This window comes from Homo sapiens, chromosome 10 (genome assembly GCF_000001405.40).
Source record: "Homo sapiens chromosome 10, GRCh38.p14 Primary Assembly".
NCBI lineage: Eukaryota > Metazoa > Chordata > Mammalia > Primates > Hominidae > Homo > Homo sapiens.
In genome coordinates this window covers 26020406-26034399 of record NC_000010.11, presented here as the reverse complement: position 1 = coordinate 26034399, position 13994 = coordinate 26020406, and the positions used below count along the sequence as shown (strand labels likewise).

Sequence of the window (13994 nt, the reverse complement as noted above, 5' to 3'; positions counted from 1 at the left end):
GCTGTAGACAGTGGCGTTGCCATCCTGGCAGTCCAAGGCAGGGGTTGGGATTCAAGTGTCCATAATAAGGTCTGGGCACCCACTCTTGTGTAATGGAAGATGGCAAAAGGACAAGACCCAATTAAGCACATTTAGAGATAGATGATCATTAAACAAAGTTGGGACCAACTCCCTCTACCTTCAAAAAAATACCATATTTTAAAGTTAAAAAGAAACATATGAGAAAATGGTCATACTGGGAACAAGCAAAATGAATCCAAAATTATTGCTGTAGTCTGCCTTGGTGTATCCATAATTTACCTTTTAGAACCAACAAAAGGGACACAGGTGGCTTAAGAGCTGGCGATGGGGTACTCCCCACTGTGGGCTGTCATGGACACAGGTCAAACCTCTCAGTCTGACTTTCAGTGCTCTCAGTGGTCTGGTCTCTGTATACCTCTCCAAACCTATTTCTGGGTTTTCCCCTTACAGCTTGATTAAATGCTTGCCTTTCTGTCAGCTTATCTCCTTGATTTTATGATTTTGCTCAGGCTGTTTCTCCTGCTATAACGTTCATCTTGTGATAACTCTATCTTCACATGATTCAGTCCAGTTTATCCCTCATGGTGCTGATTCAAAGGCGACCTCCTGGATAAGCCCTCCTGCCCCTGCTAGTGGAAATGGGATTGAAACTTTGTATAATGGTTATTTATGTTCTTGTCTTATCCTGTTTACTAAAAAGTTAGCCCCAGAGCACAGGCTCTATAAAGGATTCAGCTGTCAGACCTCTGTGTAGAACCTTTATCTAGACCTTTATACAATGGCCTCAACAAATGTTGAGACAACATGGATGTCATCTCAATCCGCGATTTCTAGGGTAGCAAAGATTATAGCACAATTGGTGTTGAGTGGGATCGTAAGACATTTAGTCCTGGTTTGGACTAAAAATGAAAAGTAGGAGAGAGGAATAGGTTAAGATAATCCCTGGATTTCTGGTTGGCATAATGAGATAAGTGGTGGTGCCATTAATAAGAAAGGGAACAGCTGGGTGTAGTGGCTCATGCCTGTAATCCCAGCACTTTGGGAGGCCGAAGCGGGTGGACCACGAGGTCAGGAGTTTGAGACCAGCCTGGCAAAGATGGTGAAACCCCATCTCTACTAAAAAAACAAAATACAAAAATTAGCCGGGCACAGTGGCGGGCTCCTGCAATCACAGCTACTCGGGAGGCTGAAGCAGGAGAATCGCTGGAACCCAGGAGGTGGGGGTTGCAGTGAGCTGAGATCGTGCCACTGCACTCCAGCCTGGGTGACAGAACAAGACCCTGTCTCAAAAAAATAAATAAAATAAAATAAAATAAGGGAACAAAGAACACAGATGGAATACCATAAGTTTAATTTTGGACATGTTGAGTTTGAAGTATCTTTCAGTCATGTGGAGATAGGAATTGAAAACATAGTTATCAGAAAAGCAGTGGGGATAGCATTTTTAAAGTCTCATGTGTCAAGGAAAAGCGTATATGTTCCAAAGGGTGAATAATTCTCAACATGACATAGTCACAGCCATTAAAGAAAAATTATCTTGCCCAGAAAATAGAACATAAAATGGAGTCATGCATTGTGCCACATGGAAGGAACCCTATTATTACTTCCTATTTTTTTGTTTTCTCTTTTCATTGTTCTGTTTTGTAAAATCAAAATCCTATTTGAGCGAATTTACATTACATAAAGTCCCACGCCTAATAAGGAATTGACAGCTTGGGCTGTGTGTTTTTTTTGTTGGTTTTTTTTTTGTTTTTTTGTTTTTTGAGATGGAGTCTCACACTGTCGCCCGGGCTGGAGTGCAATGGCATGATCTGGGCTCACTGCAACCTCCGCCTCCCTGGTTCAAGCGATTCTCCTGCCTCAGCCTCCTGAGTAGCTGGGATTAGAGGTGCCTGCCACCACACCTGGCTAATTTTTTGTATTTTTAGTAGAGACGGGGTTTCACTATGTTGGCCAGGCTGGTCTCGAATTCCTGACCTCGTGATCCACCCGCCTCGGCCTCCCAAAGTGCTGGGATTACAGGCGTGAGCCACGGCACCTGGCCGGTACTTTTAACACTGATTGGATGGTCAATTTTTAGTTTGTCTTTCTTTTGTTAATCCTTCCACATATGTCTCAAATATGCCTTATATTCTGGCCTGAAAACCATAGATGCTGGGACAAGTGGACTAGTTGCAACAGCACCACAAATACAGCCAGTATGTTTGGTCTAAGAAACCAAAATTAGTAAGAAAAAGGAGTTACTGAATCCTTTTTATTTCTATGAAATTATATGCAAAATATAACAATCTATAAATATCAAAGGTAATTGCCACTGGCATATTGAGAGCATCAAGTAAAATATTAAAGTTATTTTGCATTGTATATAAAACACAAAAGAAATTTAAGATGTTAACATGTTAATAATATGACTTTCAAAAAAAGGAAGTTTTAATTTGGAATTTGTTATTTAAGTAGATGCTGGATTAGATATTTTCTTTATTTATGAGGAATGACAATCATAGCTTAAATAATTTTTTAGGCAAATGTTCAAGATATATAAAATAAAGAACTGTAGGAAGTGTTAAATATTCCATACAGGAGGTAGATGTGGTGGCTTGTGCAAGTAAGCTCAGCTACTCAGGAGGCTGATGCAGGAGGATCACTTGAGCCCAGAATTTTGAGGCCAGCCTGAGCAACAGTGAGACCCTGTCTCTAAAATAAAATGAAATAGAATAAAAAATATTCCATATAATGGCTATCCACCTGTTGCTTCAGCAGCTCAAAAATACCCTTCTGCTGTGGGGAAGAAATTTCAAAATGGTTAGCAGGTAGGACTCTGCCTCTCACATAGAAACTGGAAGTGAGCTGAGACCAAGTGTCTTTCACCACCTACTTTCACCTACAGTGTGGGCCTGTGACCTACACGTGGGCGATCAGATGGTCCAGTATGGAACTTAGAACCTCAAGGAAGCAACATAAAGCTCAAAGTCAGTTTACGAATATTTTGAGTGGGTTGTAGCATTCAAGAAACTAGTGTCACTGCAGGCAATGTTAGAGAAAGGTGGGTGGTTTTCAGTGGCAGCCTTTTAGCTGGTGATTCTTGAGGAAGGACAGTTGAAGCCACCGGCTTTCATGACTAAACCTGGCTCTCTCCCATCCTCTCCATTCTCTGAGCCATCCAATGTTGTCCGCTAAACTGCTTTACTTTTTAAGTGGGCTTGTATTGTTTTACTCAAGAATTCTGAATTAGCACATTTCAGTTACAAATGACTTTTATCTATTCCCATTAAATCAGATAGTCAACTGTTTAAAAATACTGGATTCATAAGAAAAATTTTCTTTCAAAATATTTTATAACTAGAGTTTCTCCCAATTTAGTCTGCCTTCTAACATTGTCAATTTTAACTCGTGTGAAAAATGCTTTCCCGTTTTTTGAGGAGTGTATTATAACATGGTCTTAATTCTTCAGAATAGTTGAATAAGTTAGAAAAGTGATGTGTTTTATATTCAGGTCTTGACTTAAAATAGAAAGTTCTCATATCCATTCCATAGTATCTCCCAACACTCCACTTTTCCTCAACAAGGAAGTTTATATTCAGTTTGTATTCAATTTATATTAGGACCATTTTCTTTAAAGCTGAATCTTTAATTTTTAAAAAATTATACTGCCAAGCACATACCTTCAGTTCTAAAGGATGACATCATGTACAAAAAGAAAAATGTCAGCTTTGAGTTAGCTATGTTGATTTAATACAATCAGATTTTTTGATCCATTTTACCAACATCAGAAACTGTGACAAATCAAGTTATTTTTCGTGATCTTCAAGAAGACAGCTTTTGTTTAATGTGTTGCCAGTGGCATAACCAAGCCTGTTTTCTTTTGCCTGAGTATGTCTCACACTTTGGGACTAGTGTGAATATGAATGCTGAGGGCAGGATAATCTTCCCTCCTCCTTTGAACTAAGATCCATGGTCAAGAGAGTGTTGTGGGTAAAGATTCAAGTTCAACTCCCACCTCTTCCAAACATACGTTTATAAAAAATAAAATATTTCTTACACATTAAAAAAATAAAGTAAAAAAGACAAAGATATTTTCTAAAACAAGATGAGCATTAGAGACGACCTAACAGGGCAAACAAAAGCACCAGGTAAGAGGGCAGAAACTATAGGCTGATTCAAAGTCTGGCACCAAAAACGGGAAAAAGAGGCCTGGAGAGTAAAGGAACTGAAACACACATTCACAATGAAGGCCTTGACCGAGGTGTGGTGGGAAGAATGGGGCTGAGTGTGGGGTCCCTTGCCTGGGAAAAAGATTGAAAAAACTGCCGCTTCTTCCTTTTATATGGAGCCAGGTGCTTGAGATGGCAGGATGGAGAGACATAAGATCTACTTCCCACTGGCTCAGCAACTGGATCTGCAATTTCCTTCAAATCACAATGGGCCCTGGGGAATCTTGAAACCAGATAATGGCAAAGGCAAAACCCTCCAAATAGAATGCAGAAGGAAAGAAAAACCAAAATAAAAAACCTCCCACTCAAGATGAGAAGGCAAACTAAAATTCTGAACCCTAGACTAAGGAAACCAAATATTAAATAAACAAATGAACTCAATAATCAGGACAATTCACCTGTGTTGAAATGCAAATCTGAGAGTTACTGTTAAAAAGTATGTTTAAGATCAAAGAGAAAAAAAGCGGAATTACATTCCCCCAAAAGAAAAAATGAATAGCCAGACATAAAAAGTCAGATATGAAAAGAGTGATTAACAAAAAACCACTCACCAAGTAAGAAATTATATAAATGAAAACTATAGATGTTGATGTATAATAGATATCAGCACGAAAAAAATATTGGTATATAAGATATCTAGACTAGGCCCAGTTCTATGAGAAAATTAGTGAATTGGGAAACAATTTTGAAGAATTCATTCAGAATATAGCAGAGATTGATAAATGGGTGACAAACATGACAGAGAAATTGCAAGACATGTGAGGTAAAATACGAGGTTCCAACATTTATGTCTCAGAAATAAAAAGTGAAAAGAATGAGAGAGGATCAATATTTAAAAGAACAACTGAAAAATTTCCATAACTGAGTACATCATGAATTCTCATACTGAAAGCATATTCTGAATTTTTAACAGGATAAACAAGACTACATCTTGTGTCTCAGAATCAGAAAGTGTTGAGCATAACACTGTGCCCAATAATCACTGAAACTTACAGCACAAGCATGAGAATCTAAATACTGTGTAGTGCAACCATTCTCACGATGTTTGAACATTGAGAGACAATTATTTATGGGTCTCTCAAATTTCTGCATGTCTTATATTAGCTTTTGTTCCAGACTATATTTTCAATAATGTTTGTATAGCAAACAGCCTTGGAAATTAAAAATACTAGGACAGATGGAAATCTTATCTGGTGTCCAGGATGGTAAAGCTAATGTTTCCTCCAAGGCAAAATTTGGGCAAGCATGCAAGCAGCCCCTATTTAAAAGATTGGAGTTTCCCAAGTTCAGGATTTCCCAGTTATGAGGCAAGCCAAGTGTGGACACAACATCCACCTATTCCACATTTCCCCTAGGACTCTAGGGGGCAAGGAGAACCAATGTGAACATAAACTCATGCTGTCAGCTCGGCAATGAGTAGTAAAGTCCTTTGTCTCTCATCCATGAATCTTGTGTCTTCTACCAGCATTCATGAAACTGTGGCAAGCCAAATTGTGAGCTTGCAGGTAGGGTAATATCTCATATCCTTCACAGTTCTTGACATTGAACATCCTACACAATGTGAATACACTTCAATTTCTGTTTATTTTGATTATTGGTTGTCTGTTTCGGGAAGAATGAGGTTGCAGCAGATTATGAAACTACATTTACACAAAGATAAAAAGATGGGCATGGATGACCCATGATTATCTCCTCATTATAAACTACATATCTGCTTCTTTCTTTTGTCACTTAATTCTTCCTCATTAAAGGTATATCAGGTCTGTCTCTGCAGCAAGGCTGTAAACTCAAACAGGCAAGGATTATTATCTCCCAAGATCATCCACAATCATTAGTCCATTTACTCCTGTGAATTAAAGCTTGGGCTTTAAGATCAGAATTTGAATCCTTGCTAAGTCATTTATTTCCTGTGCAGCCTTGTGCAAGTTAATTAACCTCTGCAAACTTCAGTTCTTTTCAGCTATGAAAATGGGTTATCATAAAATATTTTCCTCAGACTTGTTGTAAAATCACATGAGATAACATAATGAAGTCCTAATACAAAATCTGGCACATAGTAGGCATTAAACAAATGGGAATTAAATGTGTATATTCACAACAGGAATTCAAATAAGTAATGTCTTATTCACTTCTTCCAACTCCCTAAATAGTGATATGTTTCTGGGATGAAACAAATAGGATTTTCAAGAATAAAGTGAAATTATAAATTTAACTTTAATAATTTTTTGACTTAATAGTACTATCTATAGAAATTTATCTTAAGAAAACAGTAAGAGATTAATGTACAACTGTTCATTACACAGTTACTTGAGAGAGTAAAAACAATTAGTAACTACCAAAATGTATGGGATTATTTAAATTAATCATTAAATTGTCAGGCAAGGGAATGCTATCTAGCCATTAAAATGTTGTGTTAGAAGAATGTTTAATTATATGGATATTCACTATTCAGTGAAAGAAGACAGTCTCTGGGACACATATAATACTATTCCAATTTTGTTTTAAAAATGTTTTAAAATGTTTGGCTGGGCGCAGTGGCTCATGCCTGCAATCCTAGTCTTTTGGGAGGCTGAGGCAGGTGGATCACTTGAGTTCAGGAGTTCAAGACCAGCTTGGGCAACATGGCAGAACCTCGTCTATACTAAAAATACAAAAATCAGCCAGGCACGGTGGTACATGCCTATAGTCCCAGCTACTTGGGGGTCTGAAGAAGGAAGATCACTTGAACCCAGGAGGTTGAGGCTACAGTGATCAGAGATGGCACCACTGCACTCCAGCCTAGGAGACAAAGTGAGACCCTGTCTCAAAAAAAACAAAAAAGTATATCCAACAAGAAGAAGATATTAAAAGGTTACAGATTAAAATGTTATACTTGATTATTTTTCCATTGTATATTTCTCTGTGACTTTTAAATTTCCTAAAATAAACTTATATACTATTTAAAATCCCAATAGGATGTACGAAGATATTTAAAATGATCTTTAAATATAATTTAACCAGGGAAAATGAACAAATAATAGTGTCAAAAGGTCTTTCAAGTTTTATGGTTTTTTTAAATCCCAAATCTAAGATATCTTACTTTATAGAAAAGCAGAAAATACAAGAAAACATATACCAATACAAAAATGATCTTTTGAAGTTTACATTCTTTGTTCTTACAAAGTTGTTTAAAAAGTGCAGCCTGTCACGCCTGTAATGCCAGCACTTTGGGAAGCCGAGGTGGGCGGATCACAAGGTCAGGAGATCGAGACCATCCTGGCTACACAGTGAAACCCTGTCTCTACTAAAAATACAAAAAATTAGCCAGGCATGGTGGCATGGGCCTGTAATCCCAGCTACTAGGGAGGCTGAGGCAGGAGAATCGCTTGAACCCGGGAGGTGGAGGTTGCAGTGAGCCGAGATCGTGCCTCTGCACTCCAGCCTGGGCAACAGAGCAAGACTCTGTTTCAAAAAAAAAGAAAGTGTTGCCTGTAATTTTACCAATATTGAGAGGCATTTCAACAGGTGACATTCACTTTTCATGTAAGTCCCCATTACCTCCAAATTTTATTCACCTTAAAAACTAATACATTGTTAAACTGTTCAAAATCTTTCAATAATCTCTGGATTTTGGAATCAAGATATTATTTGATTACCTGGCCTTTTCTGTGCCTCCCATGCATTGATGGATGCCAATGAATTCCGTTAGTTGTTTTTGTAGCATCACATCTTTGCCCTCAATTTGAGTAATGAATTTATGCTGTAAAAGTTCTGACACTGTTGGACGCTTTTCATAATCTTTAGTCAAGCACCTGCACTGGCAAAAAAGAACATGCAATTATTAGATAAGTTAGAGTTTTGAAACTATTATTCATATTCCTAAAAATTAATCTAACACACGAGAGTGATGCTCCTCATAAATGCTCAGCCCAAGCTTAAAATATATTAATTGCAATTTTTAATCTCTCAAAAATAGCTAACTGCAATATGATGAAACAAATGTTTGTGAAAGTGCACACATCTGTGAGTGATTAAGCTGCAGTGATACCAACTTTCAACTAAATACCACTTCTGTCGTCTCCCAGTAAGGATTATTGCATAGTGATAATTAAAATGTCTCCACTGCAAAGTCTCCTTTACAAGTCAGTAGCTGCAGATAAATGACAATGAAGTCATTATAGTTCTAATGCTTATCTAAAATTAAAACAAACAATGCAGTTTCCCTTCACAAATGCTTTTAAAGGCTTCTCAATTGATCTGTTTCTTTCTATGTGATAAAACTGCTAACCCATTTGAGAAGGCCACTCAGCTAAGGATGTTTAAATTCCATGTCAATATGTATTTTTTGAGGTCATACAGCAGATGTACTAATGCCTGTTGTACCTCTTGATAGGTTCAACCAGAGCATATTCATGAGAAAGGATAGGACTAGTGAGAGCACCTGAAACAACAGCACAGGAGGAGCATTTGAACAAATGTAGAAAGTTTAACCAGCTGTGACAGCTGACTTTGAATATGTAAAAGAAGGATTCAAGTAGTTTTCAGTGGTCACAAGGGGTAAGAGAACTAGAATTGGTTGGTGGAATCAAGAGAGAAACAGCTTTCAGATCAGTCTAAGGAAGAACTTTTCAAGAGTGAGGCTTATCAAAGTAGAATAAGCTGCATTAGGAAATACTATTTTGATTGGAGATATTTAAGTATAGATTGGACAGCCACTGAGTGCACATGTTTGAGAAGGATTTAACCTCTGGATATAAACTTGGGCTGTACAACTTTCCAAGACCCCTTTAACCCTGCAATTCACAGAGTCTACGATTATGAGAAAACTGGGCTGTCATTTGGGGATATTAAAAAAAAAAGAAAAAAAGCATAAAAAGATGAAACTCATGCCTTGGCTTGAGTAGCGCCATTTCTAATCGGTATTATGATAATTAGGCAATTTATTTCATTGAGCTTAACCAAAAATATATTTCCCCGGAATGCTAAAATATGCTAAGGAATAAGAATGCCAGTGTCTAAAAAATAAGAACAAGTGCTCTTAGTTTTCCATTAATTTAACAGAATGCATTAATTTCTGACATCTGTAGTAATTGTATCTATGTATTCAGAAGAGGCACATATGAAATTATTTTATTCACGCAAAACTTTATCAAATCTTTAATGTGTACTAGGCACTCTGCTAGACACTGGAGTTACTCTGCTAGACACTGGAGTTACAGTGACAAGTAAGGCACATTCAGTGCCCTAGAGTTGCTTACTGTCTAGTTATAGAGAAAGATGTCAAAACAGGTAAGCTAAATACAACTGGCAATGTTACTAGAGGAAGACAAACCAAATCAATAGCAACCAGGACAGAATACTAACTGCTTGGCAGAAACCAGGAAATGTTTCTCAGAGGGGAAACTGCAAGAAATACGTCAGACACTAAGTTCCATTGAGGATCTGTGTGGAAGCATCTACAACTCCATAAGCAAAGGAGAAATATGATCCTTTTCAGACAAGCAAATGCTAAGGGAATTTACTACAACCAGGCCTGCCTTATAACAGGTCCTGAAGGGAGTGCTAAATATGGAAAGGAAAGACCATTACTGGCCACTACAAAAACACACTTAGGTACACAGACCAGTGACACCATAAGCAGCCACACAAACAAGTCTGTATAACAACCAGCTAACAACATGATGACAGGATCAAATCCACACATGCCAATACTAACATTGAATGTAAACAGGCTAAATGCCCCAATTAAAAGGCACAGAGGATAAAGATGGATAAAGAAGCGAAACCTAATGGTATGCTAAGAGACCCATCTCATATGAAATGACACCCATAGGCAAAACACAGGCGAACAGAAGAACATGACCATTGATTATAAAGGGTCCACAGAAGCATAGCTATTGATCAGTGAATAAACATGACCCTAAGGCCATTATCTGAGCAATGATAAATTCACCCAACATTTAAAAGACACTATAGATGCTTCCTTTGAAGAAAATAATAGAAATCTCTGGGGCTGTTTAACAGATAAGAAGAAATAGGAGGAGATTTAGTTATAGCAGGAGGGAATATCTTTGGTTTTTTAAAAGACTGTTTTTACTCACTTGCTTATGAAGTCATTGAATTCTGCTGACCATAGCTCAGGCTGCCTTAGTTTTGGGGGTGGATTCCTAGAAAAATAAGAATCAATGTTGGATTCTGTATATTGGTCAGTCAGTGTAAAATGAGAGGCAGAGCCAGATAGACTAATGCAATCCTAGGTTCTGCCAGTTGTAATCAAGGATTCCATCTTTTCCCAATTCCAAGACAGATAAATCATTACTCATCTTTCTTTATACAAAATGACACGGTCTTTGTTTCTCTGTAAGCACTTAACATATGACCTGATTTTTCCAACTGTTATTATTTTTTCTTTTAAAGAGTCTTCTTGCTTTTACTTAGCTCTAGGGGGAAACATCAATACTTAACAGAATAGAAACAATAGATACTGGGGAAAGGTATTTTTTTCCTATGAGTCCCAATGAAGTCTCTGAGGAACATCCAGGGAACACAGAAGTGGCCTGTTTGGAATATGGAGGAAGGTGTGCCAGGGAGTCGCACAGTAGAATGCCCTTATGAGTTGTTGTTCTGTTGTTACTGGACACACGGCAGGAAACATGTTACAAAGTGTCAAGGAACTGAAAAATACTATTAGCGATAAAGCTGTGAATACAACTTTAACAATTTTATTAATTCCTTTCAGTTTAAGCTGAACAAATATATTTTTTGGCACATTCGTTGAATACAAAGGAACATCATTTGAAAATGAGGCTGATCTAACTCTGTAATCAAGCAACATTGATCAACCATGATAGTTGAATTTGCTGAAGTGCTGCTTTATGTTAATTCTAACAGCTCTTTGTTTTCATTAGTGAAATGGAAATACTTTGTCTTCAGTTCTGCATTACTCCTTAAATAGCTTATAATGAAATTAATGTACAGTTTGTACAGGCTCATTAAAGAAAAGTGCAGCTACTCATCTACCCCAGATCAGGACTAAGCTCATTTCACAATCCTTAGGACAATTTGAAGATTGCTAATTTGCACATTAAAAGAAGTAATTCTTTTCTCCAGAAATGTTGTTTTGTTTCTTGTCCTCCTGAAAATTTCCTTTTATGAGATTTATTGGCTTGCTTTGAATAACAAAGTTTGGATTATTTCAGAACACTCAGAACTGGGTAGCTTTTCAGATTCCCTTTTTCTCCATATTACCATAGTCAGTATTCTTGGAATTCCACTGCTGGTAGACATAATTAAGAAATAACTAAGATGATGCAGTTTCTAGAATTACTTTGCACATTGCCTGTTACCTAGGTACAATATCTATCAACAGTGTCATCCTTCCTTCATGTGGCATTATCATCAAGAGTAATAACATCAGACTAAATATGATGGTTTAATCCACAGTTAAAACAGCTAAGGCAGTACAGAACTTCACCTTACATACTGAATGACAATAGGAATTAGAAACTACAGATTTTTTTCCTGCTTTCTTCAAAATTAATGAAATGTCTTGGATTTAGTATAGAGGTTTTCCATTCTTTTCCATAATGTTGTTTCTCCACTTAACAAAATAAGCAGTATGTAAAGGATGATATATAGCCAAGGTATTATAATTTGGAACATCTAGATAGGACAAGAAATTCAAAGGCAAAATTAAAAATGAATTCAAATGTTTTAGTCTTATAATAATTTAGTTAGATGCCAAATATTCTAATGTTTTGGAACCCTGTCACCACAGGCTCTGGCTGTGCACTGCATTATAATTAAGGCAAAATCCTTAAAAAGATATTTAAAAATAACACCTTTAATAAATATAGGCAGTCTTTTCACATTAGTTATCTGAAACATCAAGGGACTAACCACCACTCATAGAAAATAGTGTTTAAAGAAATTAGTTTATAGGATAGTAGGGGAAAATCTGTTGAAACACACATGAAGGAGTGGGGGGCCACATAAATAGTCAAGTGCTTTCATGGCACCAAAAGAGGTTATTCTTCTAAATTTATTGTTTTATATTAACATATTCAAAATACTAACATGTTTAAAACCATTATTTTCTGGATAAATTTTATATATAATTTTCTTAATAATATTATTTTAAAGTTCTGAACAAAGGGAAATCTTAGCAAGTAGTAAAAAATTACTAGATTGGTAGGTAAAGCAAAGCAAAACACTTGCACAGGCTATGGACTCTGATGCCTCACTGACTCATTGGGGAATGGATAAAGGGTGGGAGGAACTGCTATTTTCTGAAATCAAATCCTAGCAAAAGAGAGAAAGACACACTGATTATCAAGAGAAAGCTCTTTTACTTAGACCAGGGAAATGCAACTACTGAACAAATACAATGTCTCAGAAGAAGCAGAATAATATTCCAGGATCTTCTGCTCCCAACTTGTTGGAATATATCTGAACGTCTCCATGAAGAGCATGATGAACACTTGGTGGCTGGAGGAAGTAAATCGGGCTGCAGATACTGGACCCAATGTTAGTCATCTGACCTTGGTATTTTGAAGAGTGCTCTCATGGGATGAAGGTCAGCTAGTGGAGGATCTCCATCACCCAGCTCAATGGCCGTGATACCCAGGGACCAAGTGTCACATCTGGCGTCATAAGTGGTATCCAATTGCTGTTCACATGCAATCACCTAGTAGAAAACCACACCATCAAAAGGTGAAATTTGTGACTTTAACAAGCATGTAATAAAATACTTAGAACAAAGCATTAAGTATTTAAACTGGTGAAGTTTGATAGCTATAAGTAAAGACGAAGGCAGTAACTTAGGAGGAGAATAAAAGATCAAATTATTATTGGTAGTAGTATTTTTGTTCTGGGAACAGATAATACCTTAGGAGGTTTAAAATATAAGGGAAGAAGCCTATGAAAAATATTTTTGAAAATATGGAACAAAAAGAGGAAAGAAATCGTGTCCCAAATGGAAAGGGATGGGATCAAATGCACAGCTAAAGATTGGGCAGTGGTAGTCACTCAATAAATGTCTATTGAGGGAATGGGCAAAGATGAAGGCTATGTTTTTGAAGAATTAAAAGTGGAGGAAATAAAGGTAAATATGCTTGAGGGCTGTCTAGTTAGATGGCCTTGGTCTCTACTGGCAACTAGAAGGCAAGGCTACCTAAGGGAGGAATAAGACAAGTTTGGAGGAATGCAAAAGGTTTAAGCCACTAATAAAAGAAAACTAAATAAAAATAAACCTTGATGTGGTTTTACCAACAGCCTATCTGGGGCCACCCTAAATTGTAAAACTGCAACCAGTTTTAAAACATGTCAGTAATCGAAAGATGTAATTGAGAGTCAAGGAAAAAAGAGGAATTTGTTTTTGTAATTTTATAAGATTGTATTAGATAGAGAAATTATTGCATTGATTACTTCCCAATTTAGTTCTAAATGTGTAAGTACAAATGCAGATTGATTGTGAATGGTAATTATTAACATCAATAAACACAAAAAGGAAATTCAACTTTACATTTTAAGAACCATTTTTTGCATTTTTAAAATTTTATGTTTTGTACATGCCAACCCACAAGAAAAAATAAAAGATATTTTTAGAATGATGGCAGATGTAGAATTGTGTCATTTAAATACAGTACTGTAAAATGATATATAAAGTGAAAAATCTAAGGCCCTTTTAGGAATGATATCTCACCTTCTGACTTCACTTAACATCAGGCTTAACACATTTAAAAAATCCATGTGTGGGCACACTAGAATTCAGTTGGTAAGATT

The 13994-nt window shown here is 36.7% G+C and overlaps 1 protein-coding gene across 21 annotated transcripts in view; it reads right to left on the bottom strand.

The window, feature by feature from the left end:
• Positions 1 to 13994, bottom strand: part of MYO3A (myosin IIIA) — a 278304-nt gene that overhangs the window by 178133 nt on the left and 86177 nt on the right. For 16 of the 21 annotated variants that reach the window (XR_930494.1, XM_011519498.3, XM_011519500.3 and 13 more), the window contains 3 exons: positions 12752 to 12897; positions 10313 to 10378; positions 7868 to 8023 (listed from right to left, as the gene is read on the bottom strand). Coding sequence is in view for 20 of the 21 variants with exons in the window: in XM_011519498.3 (XP_011517800.1) it covers positions 7868 to 8023; positions 10313 to 10378; positions 12752 to 12897 (368 nt within the window). In the remaining variant the exon portion in view is untranslated. Of the gene's footprint in view, positions 1 to 7867; positions 8024 to 10312; positions 10379 to 10911; positions 12898 to 13994 lie in introns of those variants that run through there. The other 5 variants (XM_047425358.1, XM_047425357.1, XM_047425361.1 and 2 more) reach the window with 2 other exon arrangements.